We start from the raw sequence: 26,202 nt of genomic DNA, 5'->3' as shown, positions 1-26,202 counted from the left end.
GACATGTCCCGTCTTTCTGTCCTTTGATTCTTCCTTTCTCCCGCTTGATTTGTGGCTGCTGACGTTAAATTGATCGTCATAACAAGAAAGAAGAATGTCTTTGGTCATGAAACCAAAGCATCCTGTGCATGAGTCTTGTTCTGCTGCAGTCTCCTGTGTACCTTCCCACCATCTCACCCCTACTCACTCCACACAGGGAGCATGCAGTGATGTCCCCAAGGGAAGCATATTCATAGAAGTCAATGCCAACCCCACAGTGAAACCCAAGGCCTAGAGGAGTTATTTTGTTTTGTTTTGAAAGAGAGGGAGAATTTTGGTAACAGATTCAGTTTATTTAATTTACATAAGACTATTCAGCTTTTTCTTTCATTTTGTATAAATTTTTATAAGTTATGTCTTAAGAAATCTGTTTCATGTAAAGGATCAAATTTGTTAGTCCAAAGTTGTTTATAATATTCTTTGTTCTTTTAATGTATAGAGTCTATTGTAACAAATCCTACACATTAAGCATTCATTACTGATACTGTTGATTTGTATTCTCTTTTACTCATGATATTCTAGCCATAGGTTTGCCAATTTTCATTTTTTTAAAAAACAGATTTTTACTTACTTTCTTCTACCATCTGTTCTTTTCAATATCAATGATTTCTGGGTTTTCTTTATAAAATCTTTCTTCTACTTACTTTGTTATTCTTTTTCTAGTTTCTTAGGATAGGCCTTAAATTATGAACTTTAGATCTTTCTTTTTTCCTGATATATGCATTTGAAGTTATGTTTTCTACTTACCTGTGCTTTAGCTACTCAGAAAAATTTTGATATATTGTATTTTAATTATTCGTTTAAAATATTCTATAGATTTTCTTGTAATTGGGCGTTGACCCATGAATTATTTATGTGTACAATTTTTATTTAAATGAAGTTTAACTCTATAGTTACTGCTATTTGGTTCTAATGTAATTCCCCTGATGAGAGAATGCACTTTGTCTTACTCAGATTTTAAAAAATTAACTGCATTGTTTTGTACTCCAGATTGTAGTCTCAGTGTATGTATTTCATGTACTTGAGACCAATATATATTCTTCAGTCATTAGATAGACTGCTCTACAAATATAATTAAAGCAGTTCATTATAATTATTGAGATCTTCTTTGTCTTTACTGACTTTTTGTCTCATTGGTCTATCAATTACTGAGAGTTGTTGAAATCTCCTATGACAAAAAAATTGTATTTCTTTAATTCTGTACATTTTTTATTTATGTACTGCATAGCAAAGCTTTTCCTAATGAATTATTTCTATTGTTATTATAAAATGCATTCTTTGTAATCTTACTTTTCTTAAAGCTTATTTTCTGTGATATTAGCATAGCCACTAATAGCCTTCTTATGCTTACTATTTGTCTTTCATATCGATTCTCCCCATTCATTTACTTTAAACTTATTTGTGTCTTTATATATTAAGTTTAGCTCTTGTAGCAGCATATAGTTAAGTCTTGTTTTTATCCACTTTGTTCATTTCTGTCTGTAAATTGGAGTAACGAAACCAATAACGTTTTATGTAATTATTGGTATAGTTGGATCTAGACCTACCATTCTCTTGTTTTCTGTTTCTCTTCTTTGGTTTTTGTTTGCATATCCTCCCCTTCCTGATTTTCCTTTGAATACTTTTAGTATTCCATTTTGATTTATTATCTGGCTTTTTAGGGCTTTGTGTTTTGATTTGATTTAAGTGGTTCTTTAGGGGTTACAATATATACACCTAACTTTTCACAGTCTACTTAGAATTTCTTTTATCGTTCCTATAGTAAATATCTGTTAGTGACACATGCTCTCAGTTTTATATCATGTCAAAATTTCTTTATCTCACCTTCAATACTGAAGGATATTTGCATTGGATATAGAATTACGGTTTGCAAGAATTTTTTGACTTTCGGTACTTTAAAGATGTAGTCTTTGGCTTTGGCAGTTTCTGATGAGAAATCAACAGTCTAATTGTTTTCTTCCCATAAGTAATATGTCATTTTCTCTAAATGCTTTCAAGACCTTTTTTTATGTTTGAATTGAGCAGTTTGTCTGTGTCTAGTGTTGCTGTCTTTGAGTTTATTATTTTTAGGATTCACCAAGCATTCTGAATTTATAAATGTAAGACTTTTATGAAAGCTTGAAAGCATTCAGCCATATACGTTGAATTTTTTTCCTACAGCAATCTCTCCCACCCCACCCCTTTTTTGGAGCTTCAGATACACATGTATTCAATCTTTGATATCATCCCCTACGTACCAGAGGCTGGTCATTTTTTATATCTCTCCTGTTATTTTCACTATCATATCCATTTTGCTTTTGAGTCTATCCAGTGCATTCTTTGTTTTGGATGTTGCATTTTCAGTTCTAAAATTGTAATTTAGTTCTTTATTGTTTTTATTTCTTGTTGAGTTTTTCTTATCTTCTAATTCACCTCACATGTGTGAGGCTTTTGTTTTTGATGTTTTATTTTTTACAATTTATAAAGGAGCTAATTAAATATAGCTTCCTTAAAGTTTTTGAAAGACCTATTCCATCTGTGTCATCCTAGTGTTACTATCTTTTGCTTTTATTTTCTTTGAGTTGGGCTACATTTGCCTGGTTCTTTGTATGTCAAGTAATTTTGGGTTGTATCTTAAACTTTGTTATCTATTACAATCTGCAGGATGTTGTTACTTTTGTATTAGCAAGAAATCAACAAATTCTATTTTACTTTCTGTGGATGATGGTTCAAATTTCAGTTCAGTTCTCTAAATTATTGTTATTCTTGATAATGACTATTATAAATATGCATGATTTGGAAATTATGTTGAGATATATACAGGTAATTCAGATCTGATTTTAGTTTTCTAAACCTTTGCTATGCTAGTTTGAATGTGCCCACACATGTGTGTCTCAGAGGTTAGGCTCAATCTTGTGCTAGTGATTCAAATCTCAGTTCAGTCTTGTAGGCCTGTACAATGTTGGTTTGGGTCTGTCCCATGCATATTTGCTCGGGGTTTATGTTAAGGCTTGCCTATTAACTTCAAGTTTTCCCATATGTACAAGTCAGATTGATTAGGGTGAAAGTGAACTATTACTTCGGACTTGGTTATAAATTAGTCATTATAGATGCAGAGTTGTAGCAGGCTCATTGACAAGAGTGGCCAAAGAAAGTTAATAAGGCCTACTTTGAGAAAAGTAAGAAACCTGAGATAAATTAGACAGGGAATAGAACATAGTGGTTAGTAGTATAGACTTTGGAATCAGACCAAACCAGAAGCAAGTTTTAGACCTCCTACTATCTAGCTCAGTACCTTCAGGGAAATTAATCTATCTGTGCCTCAATTTACTCAACTGCAGCAGGAAAAATGATTCCTCTGTCATAAAGTTCTTGTAATAATTCTATGTAATGGCGCCAACTGCTTAGCATAAGGCCTGGCATATACTGAGATTTCAATATATACGAAGAAGATACTTAAGGCATGCCTGAAACAACTTGAAATAATGGCATTCTCGTGGGTTAAACAAAAACCTTGAGTTCTAAATGAATTACTATCCTTGTATGTTTCAGTTTTCACACAAGCAGATTTTAAAAAGAGTAATCTCTATTTATTTCATAGGATTATTTTGGGGATCCAATACAATAACCCATGGGAAAAGGTTTGGTTTTTTTAAACTACAGAGCATAATGCAAAACGCAAAGGAGTAGCTGTAGCTTTGAATCTGATGAGACGTTATATGAAGGTCATGAGCAGAAAATAGAAAATATAGTTAATTAAAGCATCCAAGGTAGATTAAAACTAAGAGATGAGGAAATATGTTATCAAAAGTCTACATGAATTGAAAACATGATAGTATCTCCAGGATTGTCTAGTTTTTTAAGTTAAAAGGCAGTGAGTGCAATGAAGGAGTCACTTATAACAAATTGAACATTTCACGAGAGAAAAGACAGAGAATTTACATTACCCAGAACCCTATAATAGATTTTCTTTTTCAGTCATATAAATCTTTGACTTAGAACCCTTGCTTAGAACTATACTTCATTTTCATATCATGTTTTGCAGTTACTAAAATATTTTCTCATTTAATCCTCACAACAGCCTTGCAAAGTAGTACAGAGGTTACTTTACTTGTACAAGCAAATTTAGGCTTCAAGTGTTTAAGTAACACATACAAAATTATCTCATAAGTAAGCTATGGAGCTGAGATTTCAAATCGGGTCTTTTGATTCCAAGAATAGTGCTTCCTTTTTCTTAGCATGAAGTATTGATGTACATATTAGTCAATTAGAAGCACTTAAGGTGCAACCCCCTGGCCTTGGTGAGGTAGCAGAGACAGTGAATGTTCAACTTCTGAGTAATTTATAGGTAACTCTGCAGCAACACTAACACATGGTTCCTGATTATCTGGGCAGATATGTAAAACTTCTTAGTACTTAACCTGCACATCATAACCTCCAACAAGAAAAACTGAAGAAAAAAGGAACCAAAGTAATTCTGTCAGAAGATTAGCCAGTAAAAGTCTATATAAGGATAAAAGTGGCAGGCTGTGGCTGTTTGGAACATATGTAGACTAGGCTTCTACTGAAAGACGCTCATCTCACCTCTGACCAGCATGGTATTCAGAGAGGTAGACATAAGCGGATGCAAACAAAACGTGTGCATCAACACATGGTTTGTGCGCCCACCTCTCAGTGCTTCTCAACAGGGCCCAAAGAACTGTCTAAAGAATGAGTCTGGGAGCTGAGAAAATAAAATATGTCTAGACCCTGTGGGAGGGATTGAATTAATATAGCCCCTCACTAGAGTCCCCATTCTGCTTATTTCAGCCAACGCTTTCCCCTACAGCTTGTTTCCATGGCTGCAAAGCCCAACCTGGCCAATTCTGCACTTCTCATTGAGACAAATTTCACATCTTTTATAAAAAATGTTTTTTGTTTCTCAAACATTTTTTATAAAAAGGGATTTGTGTGTGTGTGTGTGTGTGTGTGTGTGTGCGCGCGCGTGTGTGTGTGTGTGCATGCGCATGCATGTGTGTATGTGTGCGCATGGGGTGGGGATTTATTTTGGCTAGTGAGGTGCACTTGTGTATTCTGAGGTAGTCTTTCCAGGAAAGTCAGGTTAAAATAGAGATAATACGCAAACATCAAGTAGAAAATAACAAACAAGTTAATTTTTGTTAAGCGGTGATTAAAGAGCACATTTATTTGTGTAGTTCACAGATCATTAGAGATTCCGGATAAGCACAATTTTAAAAGTATTTATGGCACAAATTAATTTCCCAGATACTAATTAATAGTTGTTGAGATGCTCAAGTACAACGAAGGCCCCTCTCCGACTGCGCAAGAGGCACCTTCAGGCTTTTGATGATATCAAATGAGGTAGGCCTTGGAGCCATTTGCAGAACTTTACTTGGACTCCAGAATTTCAACTTGTCTCCTGAAACCCCCCTCCCAAACTCAGCACATACATTTTAAAATCTTATTTTTTCTTCTTTATCCTTTTGTCTCTCAGTGACACAGCTTAATGATGCTCCATTGTCTCTTCCCTAGGGAAATTCTTGACCTTCACTAGTGTTGTGGCCTTCCATGTCATCTTCTCCCTTCACATTATTTATTCTGGTCTAGTAAGCTGCTAAAATTTCCTTTTCTTTTTCTAAGCAGCCTCTCTGACATGTTCTTCTTTATTCATCCATAACACTTCTCAAATTCTACTTTGATGGCAAAAATGTCAGGTTATACAAAGATAATTGCATTTTCAGTCTCGGAATCTTACACCCTTCCCTTTCTGTGACAAAGTGTTTTGAAGAAAAATAGAAGAAAAAATAGCAAGAAGAAGAGGAAAATAAAAGAAAGGAAGAAAAAGATAACACTCAGCCAAGTGAATCTCAGAGAATATAAAACTACTCCAAAATGTTCATATTCTCCAAATGTCCCTTAACAGAAAACAGGAGTAAACTACAGGTGGAGTGACTATACACCCCATGTTGCCCAGATATTCTGGTTTATACTTCTTGTCTTTATATCCAATCAGTTAGCACCCCTTTTTATCCTCCAAAGTATCTAGATGTGTTCACCTATAAACAATGAGTTTTTTCACGTCCAGATCAGGTTGTACATTCTGAGAAACAGGCACAGATATCTGAAACTCAAGACTGTTTCTGGTGTGTGGGTGGACTGGTCTTCAGACAAACATCCAAACTCAGAAAAATTCATTAAGAAAATGTGTAATAAACAGAGAATACACACTCTTCTGCTGGAAGGGATACCAGCAGATAAGTGGTAGGCAAATAAAATTGAGACAAAAATCTGAACCTTTCAGAAATTATAGTGATTAAGTATGAAATATAATCACTTGAGCACAATAGTAAAGATAGCTGATTGTATTAGTCCATTCTCATGCTAAGTCATGGTAGAAGGGGAAGCAAACATGTCCTTCTTCACATGTCAGCAGGAAGATGAAGTGTCAAGCAAAGGGGAAAAAGTCTCTCATGAAACCATCAGATCTCGTGAAAGCTCCCTCACTATCATAAGAACAGCATGTGGGTAACCGCCTCATGATTAAATTACTTCTCACTGGGTCCCTCTCATGACACATGAGAATTATGGGAACTACAATTCAAGGTGAGATTTGGGTGGGGACACAGCCAAACCATAGCACTGATACTTTTAAAATATATGTACCAGGCACTATTCTAAATACTTAATATTAACTCATTTAGTCCTCACAGGAACAACAAAAAGATAATCAACTGTTTTGTTACTATTTCACAGGCAATGAACATGAGGCTCAGAGTGACTAAGGGGCCAGGAATGATGGAATTTGGATTTGACCTAGACAGGCTGGTTTCAAGAGTTGTCATGCTTAATACCTGTAACGAGAACTTTAATCACTATGCTCTACAGCTGTTCCTTGGTGAGCAGGCAAAAGATGTTATTAATATGGGTTAAAAAAATAATAAAGTGTAATAAAATGAAAATGTATACAAAGAGTAGTGCTTTAATTTGAACCACCCTATATAGAGGTGTGTCTATAAAGCTAAAAGTCAGATTTCTATATGTCTTACAAATTAGAAACATCCATATTCATCAGTAATTTTACATTACTTTTTATGGTAATGTCATTTCAACACATTTCTGTCTTTGGGAACTCTTACAAAGTTCAGTAGTATGAGACAGAAACTCTTAAAATAGACTTATATCACTGGGTTAAAGTATAACAAATACTACCTTGGTTTAGCATTAGAATAAAATGTTGCAAAAAAACTTTCCTACTAGGATGCTGAGCTATTGATTCCATGTGTGTAGGACCTGTGTTACCCTGGATGAAAAGGTAGTCCGACATTCCACTGGACTTTGTAGAGAGGTCATTTTCTTGAATGATCACTTAGCGAAATCCAATCGCCAACTTTCAGAGAACCAGAGGCCAAATTAGTTACCACTTGGCCACCTTAGTTTTATACTATTTGCTTACTCTGAAATCCAAGACCCATCATGACTTCCCATGTTTCTTAATTTCATGAAGCAAATAGGGGATTTATTTCTCTTCTCTAGCTCAAATGCCAAAAAACTTCAGTAAGCCATCTGGCAGTGACATTAATTTTCATTTGTAACTTCAACACCTTCCCAACTCTTCCTTTCATTTGTTATCACTTCTCTTCCCTCTCTTCTTTTTCTATGTCTCCTTTCTCTCTCCTTTCCACCAAATAGTAGCCACAAATAGAGCCTTCTTTGTGTAAGAGAATTTGCATTATTTTCCTGTTGCCTAAGGCCCAGTTTCACTAATGACATTACATGGGCTCACTGGTTTACATAATGAGATCTAGTCTTGTTCTTTTGTTTTCATCCTCTGTACTTTTGAGGCCAGTAGCACATACATTGCCACAATCAACCTGAGAGAAACCTACTGATATGCAGGACAAAGATTTCTCTTTACTGGCCAAATGAAGGTTAATTCTTATTATACTCAGAGTTTGGTCCAGTTTATGGTATCCAAATTGTCAGTAAGTTAATATGAATGGATGGTGCTGGAGAAATTTTCTCTAAATTTCTTAGCATCCAAGTCAGATAAATCTCTATCTTCTACTTCATTGCTTTTCCAATACACCATATTAAGAGAGTTTCTTCAGCTATTTCTCAAGTACATAAAAATACTTCTACTTCTGCTGATAAGATTGACAGTTAAAAATGTAATATAGATGGTTTTTTCTTTGATGTGTTACAAAGTAACTTAAATCGTGTAATTTTGCTCACTCTACCCAAGTTGGTCTTGGTACACTGTAATTAAAGAAGCACAGCTTGATTGATTTGTTGATCCTATGTCACTGAAAAAGAACAACTGAAAAGTCAGGTGACCTATAATTAGAAAGCAGCCAAATATAGCCTATGTATACTCCTGTGCATTTGATAAACACAGGTCAAAGCCCAGACACATGTAGACCACTATCTGTCTGAGTCTTGACTTTCTGCAACATCTCTGGTCATTTACTTTAATTAACAAAGTATTATTGTATGTTTTCAACTTCAAAGCAATGTATTACATAGTTGGAGATACCCATAAAGTATAAAAGATGGTCCCTGATCAAAGAACACAAGACTAAAATCTATTAACACATTTATAAGCAACAGGTAGAGACAATAAAAGCACTAGGAGTTTACTTTCTAACAGCAAAATGTATAAAAACCATTAAATAAAGGATCTTTCGCTAGGCTCCTGACTAGGATAAAATTACTCCAGTCTAACATTTCTCTTGTGTCCGATGGATAGTAGCACACTTTACTAAAGTAACATAGCATAGTCATTAGGAACATGGGCTTTGCGGGATACAGCCTGGATTAGATTCTCAGCCATGCCTCTTACTGGCTGAGGAAGTTTGAACAAGTTACCTGTGAAATGGAGAATACATTCAAATTCACCAGGGTTGTTATGAGCATTAAGTAAGATGATGACAGTAATGAGTTTTACACAGTGTCAGCACATAGTAAGCATTCAGTAAATGTTAGATATTTTTAAAGTTAACAGAGGATGAGCTGGCAAAACTATTTCAGGATGTCATATGTTGTTTCCACAGTGTAGGATTTGAATTAAAACATAGAAATATGAAGTGACGAATGCCCACCATGGGGTTCAGATACACCCACATCACTGGCGTTTTATTTATCCCAGAAAAGATTTGTGCAAGCTGAATGCTTCTCCTTGATAAAGGCAACAAGACCACCCAGCTTTCTCCAGAGAGCTCAATTACTGTTAGGTATAATTCCCTCTCCAAAAGAGACAGATCTCACAAAACCACCTCAATACCAACTGGAGAAAGACTGAACTCATTAGTTAAGAATGATTTCTGTTAAAAAGTAGCTGCTAATTCCTGAGGCTGGTTGTTGCATAAAAATGAATGTAAGTAGACCAGGCACAGTGACTCACGCCTATAATCCCAGCACTTTGGGAGGCCAAGGTGGGCGGATCATGAGGTCAGGAGATCGAGACCATCCTGGCTAACACGGTGAAACTCCGTCTCTACTAAAAATACAAAAAATTAGCTGGGCGTGGTGGCAGGCGCCTGTAGTCCCAGCTACTCGGGAGGTTGAGGCAGGAGAATGGCATGAACCCAGGAGTCAGAGCTTGCAGTGAGCCGAGATCATGCCACTGCACTCCAACCTGGGAGACAGAGCGAGACTCCATCTCAAAAAAAAAAAAATAAAAATAAAAATAAAAAAAGAATGTAAGCCTTTCTTCCTGTATTATTGGGAAGTGCTGCACACGTATCACAAGGTATTAAGCAACATTCACACATGAAAGAGTAACCAAGTATTTATTAAAAACTTATTAAGAGTTAAACTCTGATTGCTTAAGAGCAGGTAATTTTCAGAAAGATCAATTCACAAGAAGACAAGAAACTAATAATTTGGAATCTTATATGTCAACAAAATCTTCAAATATTATTATATATATGTTTAATATTTCATTTTGTCATCACTGCCTTTCCCTTAGGTGAATGGCTACCCATCCTGGTAAGATGGAAAATGCAAAGACTTTAGTCAAGAATTAGCTGCAAAGGAACACTATCTGTGTGACTTGGAGCAAAAGTCCCTTAGTTTGCTTGATCCTTAGTTACATAGATCAGTTACATAGATAGCCTATGTATAAAATAAGCAAAATGATGCTTGACTCATTTGATATTTGTGAAGACTGAGTGATAATAATTGACTAGCACCAAACTGATTCTCAGTAAACATTAGTTTAATTTTGCCCAGTAGTTAAGCCATTGTTTATGACACTTATACCATACCACTGCTGTATCTCTCTAATCTTTTGCTTAATACTTATGGCTTATGAAGGTCTAGAAGCTTAGAAAAACATTCGAGAGCTCTAGATGTTGCCTACCAGAGTAGATTACAGATCAAACTTGATGCCTCTTCTGGAAGAACTGATAATAGAAGAAACTCATTCATTTAAAAAAATGCATTAGGTATCCACATTGTTCTTTACATAAGGAATACAGATGTACCCTCATGGAGCTCACACACAAGCACCCAACACTTTAAACAACATATATGTGCTAACATGGGGAAAATGTAGGGAGCTATGTAAGTATATAGGAAGCATTCCAAACTCAGTTTTGAGTTCAGGAGTGGTATAATAAGGAAATCTTAAAGAGAATGGCGTTACAAAATAGTAATAACTACCATTTATTGAGTGCTCACAGTGGTCACTTGGCTATTATAAGCATTTTATAAAACTTAACTCTGTTATTCTGCACAATGGCTCACTGAAGAGGATTACTTGATATCTCCATTTTACAGATGAGAAAGCTGAAGCATAAGACTAAGTAATTTGCATAGTGTGATTCACCTAGTAAGTGAGGCACTGAGATCTGACATCTAAATAAAAACCTTTCATTAAAATGGGGGTTCTAGGAAGAAAGAGTGGGTGACAACTTCCAGACAGTGGGAATTTAAAGTACAAAATCCTGGAGACAATGAGTACAAAAAGAAATTTAATGTTGGTGTTATGGCCAGAGCAGAGCGTAGGACTGGGGGAAAGAGAAGAGGTAAGATCACAGAAGGAGGCAAAGACTAGAGAGATAGTCAAGAACTGAGTAAACTATGCCACAAAATCCCTGTGCTTTATCCTGAAGGCCATGGAAAACCAGTGAAGGATTTAAATGCTCTCCAGAACCAACCTGCACATAGAAGACTCTAGCTAGAGTATGCAGAAGAGATTGGAGGAATGATCCCTGGAATCAAGGAAAACAATTGAGATTTTGTGGTGGTAACTTTGGGGAGAGATGATGGTATGCTGAGCTCAGATAGTAGCAAAGGGCATGAGAAAAATGGATGGGGTAGACTACTGCTTTAGGTATTTGAGTCAACAGCACACCATGATTAATTGAACGGGGAAGGTGAATCAGAAATTATTAAAAAAAAATACTCAGGTTTCTGGACTGAGAAATCAGGTAGATAGAACTTTTATTTGCCAGAAAAAGGAATGCCAGAGAAAGGACAGATTAAAGAGAAATATATTTAGTCATCTAACTGCACAGTTGTTTTTACAAAACCCAAAGTTAGTTTTCAGTGGAGTGTTTCAGAGGTGAAATTGTCTGAAGGGCTCAAGTCTTTCATAAAGACTTTAGCATGACAACTCTTTACCATAACTAGTACAATTATCAGTTTTATAGTCAGTTTTCTAGTATGAAGAATCTGCTCATTAGCATTCCTTACATAGGGGAAATTGCATTATTCTAGAAAGCTTCCCCCACATTATTATGGCTGTATATTATGTAGATATTTTGAGACTTGTTGAAGAAAAAGTATAGGTTAAAAGCTGTATTTGGTGTCCTGGACCTGATTCTAATGCTGAGAAGAAAAGATGTCCTGGATGTCAATGGGTAAAATTGAAGAATCAGGCAAAGCAAGGGATTACTATGTGAATCTCCTTCATATTTGTATTAGTTTGCTGGGAGCTGTCATAATGAATACCATAGACTGGGTGGCTTAAACAGCAGAAATTTATTTTCCCACAGTTGTAGAAAATGGAAGTCTAAGATAAAGGTGTTGGCAGAGGTTTTGGTTCCTTCTGAGGCTGTGAGGGAAGGACCAGCTCCAGGTCTGTTTCTTCAGCTTGTAGATGGACATCTCCCTCTGTCTTCACATGGTATTCCCTCTGTATATGACTATGACAAAATTTTATTTCTTATAAGGGTAGCAGTCATACTGAATTAAGACCAACCCTAACAACTTTAACTTAATTACTTCTTTAAAGACCCTATGTCTAAAACAGGTCACATTATGACGTACTAGGGGTTAGAACTTCAGTGGGGGGAAGCGAGGACACACAATTTGGCCCATAACAGAATATCTGCTAAAATGCCCTAAGCCGGGGCTTAATATGGAGAAAAAAGAAATAGAGACAGTAGGGAGTTTATTCCAAACACTTCAGAGATGATTGCTACAACATCCGAGATCCAGACTGGCAGTGACCACAAGTATAGCCAGCATCTGGTGCCTTTGGTGGTGACAGTACCCACCACACAGCCTAGTTCCAGTTGGTGGCAGAGGTGTACTCATCCAATAGTTCTGGCTGGTTCCTGCCCCTTGGCTTCCCTTGGTTTCTGCTCATTTACTTAGTGTAGTTCCCCAGCTTTTCTAGGATTCTGTAAGTCACCCAATACATTCGTTTCTCCAATTCTATTAGTCAGATTTGGTTTCTCATGTTTCTAAACCTGACAACTAAAGAAAACACCTAGGGATGCTTCTACATGATTGAATTAAGACTTTTTACTACCTCCTATGGCACAGGAGAAAGAGAACAAACTGCATAATGGGCAGATCTAGGTTGAAGCCTTGGCTCCTCCATTTTCCAGACACATTGACAAGTTTCTGGAACTTGCTGAGCATCAGTTTCCTCATAAATTTGAAATCATAATACAAAACATTTATTGGGCATTTATCAAATTCCAGGCACTGCTCTAGTATTATGCCATTTGTGTCTCATAGCAACCCTTCACCACAACTAGTTCTACTGTCAAGTTTATAGATTAAGCAATGATGCTGCATGTCAATGACTCCTAAATGCATGTTCTAAACTCAGGACCTGTCAATGAGCTCTAAACTGATATTATCTGACTACCAGGTTTACATATTTCAAACAATATATTTAACAAAGAACTTTTGAGCTCTAAATCCTTCCCTCAACTGAATTTCGCCCCAAATTCTGTTGACTAAATAATGACATCCAAGTTTCTCAATCCTAAACCCTTTATTATTAGCACTCCCCATTTCTTCATCTCTGCCACTTCCAGTCATAACTAAGCCCTGATTACTTAATCTCTGTATTAGTTTTCTATGGCTAATACAGCAAATCAAAACAAACGCTGTAGCTTAAAACAATACCCAATTATTACCTCCCAGTTTTGAAGGTCAGAAGTCCGGATACAACACGACTCTGCTAGTTCTCAGCTTAGAGTCTCATAAGACTAAAATGAAGGTGTTGGCAGGGATGTGTTTTCTTCTGGAGGCTTTGGGGATGAATCCTTTTCTAAGTTCATTTAAAGTGCTGGCTGAGTTCAGTTCCTTGTGGTTGTAGGACTGAAGTCACAGTTTCCTTGTTAGCTTTGGTGGCTGGTCTTTGCTCCTGACCACAGCATTCCTTCTTCATATGCTTTCCAAATGGACCACGACTTTCCATATGCTTTCCATACGGTCCAAATGGACCATATGCTTTCCAACAACCACAACTCCAATCTCCCTCAAGCCTTGAATCTCTCTGATTTCCTTTTCCCTTGCATCTCTTAGCTTCCAGCTGGACACAGTTCTCTGCTTTTTAAGGGCCTATGTAATTAGACTGGACTTGCCTGGATAATTAATTATACTTTTCCTTAAAGCCAGCTGAGTAATAACCTTAATTGCAACTGCAAAATTCATTTTGTCATGCTTTGTGACATATTCACAGGTTTTGGGATTGGAGCATGGACTTCTTTGGGAGGACATTATTCTATCAACCACAATAAGAAAACACATGCATACCTCATTAGAGATAATAGCAATGTTACTTATTAGTTAGAAGGGTAGACTATGAAGCTGGATTCCTTGGGTTCTTCTACCTGTTAGCTATCATTTAGGACAAGTTATTTAACAACTCTGTACTTCAGTTTCTTCACCTGTAAAATGAAGGTGATAACAGTACTTACAAGATTTTTGAGAAAATTAAATAAGTTACTATATTTCAAGTTTTTAGAACAATGCCTGGTATAAAGTAAGTGCTGTGTTTAATTATCTGTTATCATTACAAATCGACATTATGAAGGGGGAGACTCTGTTATGTGAAACACATGGGGACCAGTTTCTAATGAGATGTCAACAGAAAGATTTTTAAGATCAGAACTCATGGAAAAAGGAAGGAGAAAGCTAAAACCAGGTTGTTGGGAGGAGGTAGGATAGTGGAGGAAGCACCATGGACATAGAATTCTAGATGGGAAAAGACTCAGGAGTGAGAAAATACCGTTCTATACAAGAAACTACAAGTAGGTTATTGTTACTTCAGCCTGATGAAGTGAAGGTAGAGTGAAACAAAAAAAGGCTAAAGAAGAAAAAAGATGTCAGTGCCACAGGTCTGTGTGGTCAGAATGAGGAACTTGGCTGTCAGAACAATGGAAGTTGTAGAGAGATAGGAACTGAGCAACACATTTTAGAGGATCACTCTGGCTGCCCTGTGAGAAGGGATTAGAAAGGAGCAAGAACAAAAGCAGATAAACTGTTTAGAAGTCCACGGGAACAGTCTAAATGGAAGACTAATTGGGTCTATGGTAACAGTCCGTGTGAAAGACTGGTTTGGGGCTGTGGAAATAAAGAGAACTAAGCATAATTGTGATATGTTTTGGAAGTTTTGCTAAGCTGAATAATGTCCTCCGTCCCCCCACCCCCCACTGTGAGATGTTCTAATCTCTGGAACTTGTGATACGTTACGTTACATGGTAAAAGGGACTTAGTAGTTGGAATTAAGGTTAGGGACTTTAAAATACAAAGCCTGAGTGATCCACCTGAGTGATCTAGGTGGATCCAATCTAGTCAGGAGTTCTTAAAAGGAGAGTACACTCTCCACATGGAAGTAAAAGAGGATGTCAGAGAGCTGGGGAACAAAGAGAAGTCAGAGATTCCAAGTGTGAGAAGGATTTGGCACGCCGTGCTGCCTCTGAGATATAGGGGCCTGGGTGCTTGGACTGGAGAGAGTTCTGCGAGAGTTAAGGGAGGCCCCCAGTGGACAGCGAATAAGAAAACAGGGGCTTCAGTCCCACAACTACAAGGAACTAGATTCTGCCAATAATCTCAATGAGCTCAGAAGCCAAGTCTTCCCAAAGCCGTCCAATAAGAGCCCAGGTAACAGATACCTTGATTTCTGTCTTGTGAAACCAGGAGCACAGAAACCAGTTGAGCCGGTCCGGACTTCAGAACTACACAACTGTGAGAAATAAACTAGTGGGATTTTTTTAAGTGACTGATTGATTGTTTTAAGCCACTAAATTGGTGATAACTTTTAATGCAGCAATAGAAAACTAATATATTTACATATTAATATCAGTCTTCCTCATAGAGTGTAAGCTTCATAAGCACAAGGACAGTGTCTGTTTATTTCACCATTCTTTTCCTAGACTTAGTCCAATGCTGGCATTTGATAGATGCTCAACAAGTATTTTACTGCAAAAATGAGGCAGTGAACATTTAAATAGCTTACCTAATATCACACAATTAGTAAGTGTTGGAACCAGGCCTTCAGCTCATGTCAGATGTCATATATAACATTTCTTTTGAACATTAACACAGCATATTTAATGTCTTTGGCACATAGTAGACATTTAATAGCTATTACATCCTCCAGGTCCCCTTAATTACCCTGAACCTAGCTCAAACTCCTTTTTGCACTTCTGGCTAATAGTAATGTCCTAATGAGCCTCACTGAATCTAAGCATTCTCTACTGCAATCCATTTTCTGCCACATTAATATTCTACAAACACATACATTAAGATTATGTCTTTGAAAGCATAGGGCCAACTGTAAAGCTTGTTTATTATTTATTGTTATTGTCACCATTATTACCATCACTCACATTAAATCTAGACTGCTGAGCCAAGCTTCCAAGGTACCAGTCTCAGGGCTTCCCTGTCCTCTCTGACTTATTTCTCACCTTTCTCAGCATGTACTCATTGTGTAAGCCAAATGGTCTCCTATCTGATGGAGATACATCCACAACTCACTGTTACCTTTGGGCTTTGCTCATGCTTTTTTGGGCTTTCCTATCTAAACAATGCCATGCCCCAACTTGAAAGTCCACCTTTTTCACAAAGCCTTTCTTAGCGACACTACATCTCATTGATCTCATCTGAATTCCTGCAGCACTGAGGCCCTGATCCATGCTCTTTGGCACTTATTTAGTCTATTCCACAACCCTAAAATGCATGCCTCTGAAGTGACAGACATGGGGCTAAGCATAAACTATGGCTTTTGTCTAATACTATTTTGTATGGCTTTTGATGGGGTTTTGGGGTACGGTGTGTGCATCTTGTCTCTCTCCAGCTATGTAGTAAACCCCTCAAAAAGCCATCTAAAAAATTAAGCAGTTAAGCTCTGGCGTCTGATGTGCTGGATTCAAATCCTGTCATTTATCAGCAATTTGACCTTGGGCAATTTCCTTAATTTCTCTAAAACGTAATTTCCAGCTAGGCACGGTAGCTCACACCTGTAGTCCCAGCACTTTGGGAGGTCAAGGCTGGTGGATCACTTGAGACCAGGAGTTTGAGACCAGCCTGGGTAACATGGCAAAGGCCCATCTCTATCAAAAATATGTACATACAAAAATTAGCCAGGCAGATTGGCACATGCCTATAGTCCCAGCTACTTGGGAGGCTGAGGTGGGAAGATCACTTGAGCCATGGAGATGGAGGTTGCAGTGAGCCGAGACCACACCACTGCACCCCAGCCTGGGCAACAGAGAGAGACCCTGTCTCAAAATTTCATAGATAAGGAAATTAAATTTTATTTAATTTATTAAAATTTAATTTCCTTATCTATAAAATGATGGGTAATATCTAATATATTTGATATTAGAGCATATCATTATAATCTATCAATCCTATATTAAATTTTATGCTACATCATATTACAATATAATAAATAGTGTACAATGTATAATATATAATGGTGGGTTATAATAGTTTACTTCATTGGGTTGTTGTGGGAAATAAAATAAGGTAATTCATGTAAGGCTTTAAAAATGCTCTCTAGCATACAAGGACTCAATAAACATTATCCATTATTAGGCTTCGAGCAGTTTTTTTTTTTTTGAGACAGTGCCTTGGTCTGTCACCCAGGCTGCAGTGCAGTGGCACAATCATGGCTCACTACAGCCTCAACCTCTGGAGTTCAAACTATTCTTCCACCTCAGCCTCCCAAGTAGCTGGGACCACAGGTACACGGCACCATGTCCAGCTAATTTTTAATTTTTTGTAGAGATGGGGGGTTACACTATGTTGCCCAGACTGGTCTCAAACTCCTGAGCTCAAGAGATCCTCCTGCCTCAGCCTCCTAAGTTCTGGGATTATAGGCATGAGTCACTTCACCTGGCCGATTGTTAGTTTTTATTTCTACCACCATCCTGCACCTTCCACAATGTCTAATATAATTCTGGGCACAGAGTAAGTATTTAATAAGTATTCTTGTCTGAATATTATTGAAAAATAATAATATATTAGATGGCTAATCTGGTAGAGGAAAATCAGAAAATTGATTCAAAGGAGTACTGACTGAACTGACTATTCAATTGACAGAAATCAGGAAATAATTTGGGAAGCAAAGACACCCACAAATTATTCCATTGTATATAGATCAAACATCATAAGAAACAAGAAATTCGCAATCATTAGGTAATTTTGCTTCATGAAGATATTTGATTGTTAAATTAATATGTGCTATTAGTAAAGTTGAAATTTCAGAAGTAGGGAGAGATAATATCACCTCTGTCCTTATACCTCACTATCCACACTGCTGAGAGTTACCTCCTATGCACAGTTTCTTGCCTGATCTTCCCTAAATTTATTTGTTTTTTAAAATAATTTAAACTTGTATTTTATTTTAGATTCAGAGGCGATACAGTTAAGCCTGTGTCTCCACCCAAATCTCATACTGAATTGTAATCCCTAGGTGTTGAGGTGATTGGATCCTGGGAGCATTTTCCCCCATGCTGTTCTCGTGATAGTGAGTGAGTTCTCACAAGATCCGATGGTTTTATGAGGCAGTTCTCCCTGCTCTTGGTCACTCTCTCTCCCCTGCCACCATGTAAGACTTGCCTCTTCCCCTTCTGCCATGATTGTAAGGTTCCTGAGCCCTCTCCAGCCATGGGGAACTGTGAATCAATTAAACCTCTTTTCTTTATAAATTACCCAGTCTCAGGTAATTTATAGCTAGAAATGTCTTTCTAGCAGTGAGAAAATGAACTGATACAACAGGGTACATGTGCAGGTTTGTTTCATGGGTATATTGCTTAATGCTAAGGTTTGGAGTACGATTAATCCCATCACCCAGGTGGTGATCATACTACCCAATAGTTAATGATCTTCCCTAAATTTTCTATGTGTGTAGTTACTTGCCTTTCTAATCCTCCATTTCCTCATCTTAAGAAATACCAACTCCTTTGCAGGAGTGTTCTAAAATGTATAAAGCATACAATAATTTTATCCTAGGTTAATCTGAAAACATCAGAATTTTGTAGTCATGGAAGCAAAAGAGAGGATATTTGTCAGAGTACTTTCAAGGTGAATCAGAGATTAATTCCCTTCGAGTTTTTAAGTCCCAAATGTATCTTTCACTAAAGATTGTTATAGAGTTTGCCTTTTCCTAAATCTATTTAAATGACTGCAATATTCAAACAGGAAGTTGTGGATAAATTAGCTTTTAAAAATGTTTAAGAAAAAATAATATGTGCATTTATAATCATTCATCACAGAGTCAGCTCACCAAATTTAAAGCACATTGTTTGGCAATCAGAAAAGCTGATGAACAAATTGAAAAAAAGTAATTACAGAAAAAGTCAGTGAATAAGCAATTACTGAAGAATAAATTACCCAAAAAAGGTAGATTAGAAAGTACAGCATGGAGACCATACCTTTGTGCACAGGATGAGCCTCTGCAGTGTCACTGTCCAGCACTTGCCCTCTGAGCAAGAAGAACCTAGTTACCTTCCCTAGCATCCTTACTCACTGGCTATATGCAACAGGCAGAAAACACCTCTTCTCACCACTGCTTTCCTATCATAATTGCATGTGTTTCATGGCAGGAGGAAAGGATGCAAACCCATTGTCTGCAGTACAGATTAGAGATACTCATACCTTTTAAACATTCTTAACTGCCAAATGTAGTAGAATGGGGATTTAAAAATGAGTATCAAACTTAAAATATCTTGATGGAAATAGATCATCTATCTAGTAAACATGACAAAGTTCTTAATGTTGAAGGAACAAGGCATTCTTGATAGTCTAAGCAAGAAGGTGAAAATTTTTGAAATTTTAAACATAACGCAATAGTTTTAAAAATTATTTGAGGATTTGGTATCAAATCAACAAATATTTCTGTTTTCATAACATTGAAGTCAATGGTTTTTAAATATTTTTAATAAATGTTTTATTTTGGAATAATTTTATTCACAAAAATGTTGCAAAGATAGAGCACAGAGTTTCCATATACCTTTCACCCACTTTCAGCTAACACTAATATTACCATATACATTTGTCAAAACTAAGAAACCAACACTGGTAAATTACTATTAGTTAAACTCCTGGCTGTATTTGAATTTCACCAGTTTTCCACTAATGTTCTTTTTGTGTTCTAAGATCCAATCCAGAATACTACACTGCATTTAGAAGCTGTCAGTTTTTAATCTTATCTTTTTCCCTCTAGAAATCTAACTACAACAGACAACTTCCTTCGCTATTTCGTAAGGTACAGTTTAGAGCAGCTTCTATAGGTTGCCAGAATCTCTGTTTGAGAAGAGATAAATTCAGTGTGCTGATGAGTTTTGTCTGAAGTTCTCCATGTAATTCTGGTCTCCAGGTGAACTGATTATTTTAGCATTGGGAAAACAGGCTAACCGTGTCAAGAAATATTCTGAGACAGGTCAGTTTATATTATAGTAATATGGATTTGGAGATTTTTTTATTTCTATGGCTCTCACTCATTAATATTCTTCCTAAATCAACACTATCAGTGAAAATTAATATATTTTCAGTCTAGGTTCAGTAAAAGAAAAGCCATGATTGCATTTTTGTTGTTACTATGGTTATGCATTATGATATTTCCTTAGGGGGAAATAACATTTTAAACAAATCTGATCAATCATGTTATTCTCAATCAGATTCTTATTGTTCATAGAGTACTACTTTAAAACTTTCCAATAAAGAGCTCCTAATGAGAGAGAATCAAACCTAGACCCTTGAGATCCACAAGATTGTCATAAAAGCCAGCCAAAAGAAAAAAAAATAATAAAAATAAAAATAAAAACTTTGAAGTCTTCAGCTTCAACTTAAAAATTCATAAGTTTTCCATTCTACTCCATGATATATTTATATTTGTTATCATATAGAATTAATGTTTTAAATTACTTACTAACCAGTTAAGACTGATGACTCCTTTCACATTGATGTTCATCACTGGTATGGATGTCCCTGTTTGACGACCAGAGGCTTGTTGATAGAAGTCCATGTTAGGCAAGGTACTCCTTATTGTTACCTCAATTAAACTTTTCAGCCAAATCCCTGTCCACAAATACCATGATATCCACACAGGAAAAAGAAATGTCAGGCTCAAACCAGGCCTGAAGTCCTCACTCTTCTATTCTATATATAATTTATTCTGTCAACAGTGTCCTCCCCTCTTCCTTCACTTACCCAGCTACTGAGTATGGTGAAGAGGTTAATGACCCAGGCCTTGGAGTCAGGGAGGCTGGTTATCTGGGTGTGTTCTAGACCAACACCCACAGCACTTTTTACCTGGTGGTTGTGGTATTTAAAGTTCTAGCACTGTCATTTATTAGCCAAATGAACTTGAACAAAATTCTTGCCAAGCCGTAGTTTCCTACTCTGTATAATTGAGATTTATAATGGAAATTTAAGAGTTATTAGGAGAACTAAATAATATGATGTATGTAAAGCAGTTAGCAAATTGACTGACTCAGAAAGAGCTCAATCATTTTATTATTATATGTTAAGACCCAGTTAAATGTCACTTCCTGTCTTTTCCAAGGAGAGTTAGTATTTTTCTTCTTTGGATTTCTTTGCATTTTTATTTTTTAAAAAAATATATAAAAAGCAATGTCACAGTAAAATCACCATATGCTTTTAAGTAATAAAAGATTATAAAATAGCAAGTGCAGCATGTGTGTGCATTAACTACATTAATGATGAAATATTTTCTTTTGGCACCTTTATTTTTCAAATTTTTTACAATAAATATGCATAATCTTATAATCTAAAATAAAGAAAGCAATGTAATATTGTTCTGACCATCCACATTAAATTCATTTTATCAAACAAAGATATGTACATAGTCCTATTTCCTGTTACTCCTACCACTGAATCCTCATCCCTAGGGGATATCATTTTCAAAACTTTTCATTGATTCTCGTATTATATACCTTTATATTTCTAAATAACATGACTATGTTATCACTCACTTTTACCATTTTAAACATCTATTGTCTTTCTACTATGGAGGATAGAGACTTCATTCTTGCACTACTACCCAATTTCCCAATATTTTTCTTCATCTTCCCAAAACAGTTATATTATACAATTTTTAATTAAACCACCATTTATTTTTTATTATTGTAACAATGTAAATATAATTTATAGCTAAACTATGTAGTTTAGTATGACTATTTTGTACACATTTAGTCCTCTGAAGTTAACTGTTTAATGATTTGTTTAAAAATGATGTCCCTATTACTGCTTTTTCTCAAAATCTCCCATGAAAGAGTCAATCACCTCTTGACAGCATATACAATCAATAATCTCTCCACTTTTTCTCTACATCCTTCCAAACTCCTTGTCCTCCAGCCTTACCCAGGACTGCTTCCCTCTTTAGGCCTTTGTTATAGACTGAGTTGTGTTCACCAAAAATTCATATGTTGAAGCCCTAACCCCAGATTCTTCAATATATGACATTATTTTGAGATAGCATCTTTCCAGAGGTAGTTAAATTAAAATGAGGCCATAAGGGTGGCCCTAGTCCAACTGCACTGGTTTCCTTCCAAGAGAAGGAGATAACCACATACAAGCAGACACCAGGGCTATGTGTGCTTAAAGGGACAGCCAAGTGAAGAGACAAGAAGAGGGACTTCGAGGAAGCCAACCCTGCTGGCACCTTAAGGACTTCCCACCTCCAATACTGTGAGAAAAGATATTTCTGTTGTTTAAGTTACCCAGTGTGTGTTATTTTGTTATGGCAGCCCTAGCAAACTAACACAGCATCCCTAATAGTCAATGAGGACTCTTTTTTCTGAACTCCTTCCTTTCTTAATTTGTTCCTTCATTTTCACTAATATTCTGATTGTTTTATAACAGGTGCACAGGAGATAATGCATGTCTGATAATTCCTTTATTTTACTATATAATTTAACTGAATGACTAGATGTAGGATTCTTGATGGAAATAATTGGTCTTCCAGAAGGCTCCATTGCCTTCTAGCTTCCAGAGTTGTTGGTGTTGGGAAGTTCGATGCTATTCTTGATTCATTCTCTCTCTCTCTCTCACACACACACACATACACACACACACACTCACTCTCTCTCTCTCTCTTTCAAAAGTGTTCTTCATTCCAGGTGTTCTGAAATTTCACAATGATGTATGTGCCTTACTGGTGGTCCTTCATCTTTTGCAGTGTTAGGTACTTGATAGGCTCTTTTAATCTGGAAATACATGTTCTTGATTACTGGGAAAGTTTAACTTTCTTTTTTCACAGTCCTCACCTCTAGTGTCTCTAGGCTTCTGCATAGAAATCTCCTGCATTTTGGACCTCCTGGAATGATCCTCCAATTTACTTCTATTTTTTCCACCTGTTTTCCATCTATTTGTTAATTCTTTCTTGGACATTTATTCAGCTTTCTCTTTCAATTCTTCTATGTAATTATTTTATTTGCTTCATTTTAAATTTCCAGAAGCTCTCTCTTAATCTCTTAGTGTCTTTTTGGATACTGATATGATTTTTTAGTGGATTCGATAGCTTCCTTCTGTCTCCGAACTGTCAATTACAGTTTTTTATTTTAAGCTTTCTTGTTCTTCTAACTTTGTATGTTTCCTCCAAGTACATTTTATGTTCATTTTTCTGACTTTTATTTTAGTACCTGTAATTATACACATGTATAGGGTTTCTTGATCATTGATTTAGATTTAGAAGGAGGCCTTATATAATTGATTTGCACCTTGGGGTATGTGATATGTGGGGTAATAAGGCAGAGACCCAAATGTTTTCTGGAAAGCCTCCAAATATTAGCATCTGTAGATATTTTCTAGTGGGCCAATTTCTCTTACTGTTCAGAGGGAAGGCAGTTGATAGTCTCACTGCTCAACATGTAGACTTTTCTCTTAATCCTAGTGCAGTGATTCATCTTCACCTATGCAGTTATAAACATCCCTCCCACCATGCTGGGGAAGGGATGGCAATCTGTCTGCACAGAGATGGGGAGGAGGATTTTGGAGGCAAATTGCTCTTTTTACATGCTTTTAACTAATCCTCATCTTTCAACAAAAACTTCAATATTTTTTCCAAAATAAAACAAAAACTAAAGCCTTTAATTTCATGAGCTGTTTAAATATAGCAATGTGAAATTGAATGTGTCTTGTTGGCATATCTTCACAGACATTGTGTACTAGCTTTCTATGATATTATATAATATGTACTTATCTGAGTCTAGCCTCTTTCACTCTGTATATTCTTCTTAAAAATCATCTGTGTTCCTTTTTATTGCTGAATAGTATTCCATTGTATGAACATATCATATTTTATTTGTCGGTTCATCTATTGATGAGCATTTGGGTGGTTTTCAGTGTTTAATTTGGCTACTATGAATAAAATTGCTACGACCATTTGCGTTCCATTTGTTGAAAAAAAACTTTACTTTCCAAATTGAATGACATTAGCAACTTTGTCAAAAATCAATTGACATGTGGATATATTTCTGAACTTTCTATTCTGTTCCATTGATCCATATTTCTATTCTTATGTTAGATAATGCCACACTATCTCAATTACTGAAGCTTTCTACTAATCCTTGAAATAGATTAGTGTAAAAGGAAATTTTTTCTTTTAAAAATGTGTTTTAGCAGTTCTACATCCATTGAATTTTCATATATATTTTAGAAACAACTCAACTTTTACCAAAAAAAAAAAATGCTGGGATTTTAACTGGGCTTATATTTAATCTATAGCTGAATTTGGGGAGAATTATTATTTTAACAATATTCAGTTTTTTAATCTACGAACCTGGTATATCCCTCCATTTAATTAGATTTTTCAAAAATTTAATTGACCAATGTTTTCTGGTTTTCAGTATACAAGTATCACATATTTTGTAAATCTTTCACATGAGTTTAAGGCAGCTATTTACAGTTTTTATGTATGTCTGCTAATCAAGTTTCTTAATTACATGACTCAAATCTATCTATTAACTCTTTTGTCTATAATGATTGGAGATTTGTCTGTTTTTCTTTGTAGGTTCGTCAAGTTTTGGATTATATACTTTGAGGCTGTGATGTCATTTAACAAGACTTTAATATTTTTCATCTCCCTGTTATAATTAACTTTTTATCATTATAAAGTAATTCCCTAATTTTGGTAATGCTTTTTGTATTAATGTCTATTTTACCTGATTCTACTATAATTGCATTAGTTTCCTTTCTGGTTTGTCATTTTTCATTCTTTCTATTTCCTTATGTTTTAGATGTGTCCTGTTAAAAAATCATGTGGGTAGGCAACCTCCAATGATCTCTGCCTCCTGATTTACTTCTCTTATGTAATATCCTTCCCTTGTATATAGACTGGACTTAAACTGACTCACTTCTAATGAACTAAATATGAAGGAAGTGATTAGGTTATAAAAAGACTGTGGCTTGTGCTTTAAGTGTTCTCTCTTACTCTCTTTTGGATTGCTTGCCCTGGGGAAAGCCAGCTGTCTATGGTAAGATAGCACTGTGAGAGTTTCACTTGAGTAAGCTGGAAAATCTTCTGAGGCTAGTAAGTCCTTCTGAGGTCCTTCAAAAAGGATTCATTCACAGTTGAGCATTGAGATGACTATACCTGTCAACACATGGTTTGAAGTCTTGTGAGAGACCCTGACCAAGAACCATCTGCAAAGACATTCCCAGATTCTTGGCCCACAGAAACTGTAAAGTAAAAATGTATGTTGCTTTTAGACACTACGTTTTTGGGCAGTTTTTATGTAGCAATCATTATCTAATACATGCTTGTACTTGGATTGTTTTAATCCACTCTGACAATTTTTTGCTTTGAACTGTAATATTTTGTTAAATTATAGAGAATAACAATTTTTTATGTATTTTGGATTTATTTCTACTATTGTATTTTGTGCTTTCTACTTATCTCACCTGGATGACATTTTTTTTTTCTTACACTTTTTGGTTTCTCTTGAATTGTTCTGGTATTTTTTTCTTATTTTAGTCCCTGTTTTAATTTGGAAGTAATGTGTTTTATTTCAACTTTGTGTTTGAAATGGTTACTGCAGTAATTAGAAGAGGCATACTTCTCAAAGTTTAAAATTAATCAGTTTTTTTCACCTGCTAAGAAATACAAAAGCCATAAAACACCTTAATTCCATTCACAATTTCTCCAGCTTATATAATATTATTATAATGTATTTCACCTTTATTTTTGAATCCCCAATACTGTATTATCCTTTTTTTTTTTTTTTAAGACGGAGTGTCGCTCTTTCGCCCAGGGTGGAGTGAAGTGGCGGGATCTCGGCTCACTGCAATCTCTGCCCACCGGGTGCAAGCGATTCTCCTGCCTTAGTCTCCCAAGTAGCTGAGATTACAGGTACCCACCACCATGCCCAGATAATTTTTTGTATTTTGAGTAGAGATGGGGTTTTGTCATGTTGGCCAGGCTGGTCTCAAACTCCTGACCTCAGGTGATCTACCCGCCTCGGCCTC

At 36.1% G+C, this 26,202-nt stretch overlaps 1 protein-coding gene and 1 long non-coding RNA gene across 4 annotated transcripts in view, besides 1 other annotated feature; one reads left to right on the top strand and one right to left on the bottom strand.

Moving 5' to 3' along the window:
* Positions 1–26,202, bottom strand: part of LOC107984361 (uncharacterized) — a 552,293-nt gene that overhangs the window by 64,234 nt on the left and 461,857 nt on the right. The gene's annotated exons all lie outside the window — the stretch shown is intronic.
* RAB38 (RAB38, member RAS oncogene family) overlaps positions 1–26,202 on the top strand; it is a 371,729-nt gene that overhangs the window by 327,632 nt on the left and 17,895 nt on the right. The window lies entirely within an intron of this gene.
* Positions 7,568–8,069: an enhancer, noted in NCBI's record as "NANOG hESC enhancer chr11:87550635-87551136 (GRCh37/hg19 assembly coordinates)". NCBI's record gives its function as "activates a minimal SCP1, AML or CMV promoter by ChIP-STARR-seq in naive H9 embryonic stem cells {active_cell/tissue: H9 hESC(naive)}" and the evidence as "EXISTENCE:reporter gene assay evidence [ECO:0000049][PMID:30033119]".

The sequence above is a fragment of the Homo sapiens genome, chromosome 11 (assembly GCF_000001405.40).
Source record: "Homo sapiens chromosome 11, GRCh38.p14 Primary Assembly".
NCBI lineage: Eukaryota > Metazoa > Chordata > Mammalia > Primates > Hominidae > Homo > Homo sapiens.
This window is presented reverse-complemented; position numbering and strand designations above follow the sequence as displayed.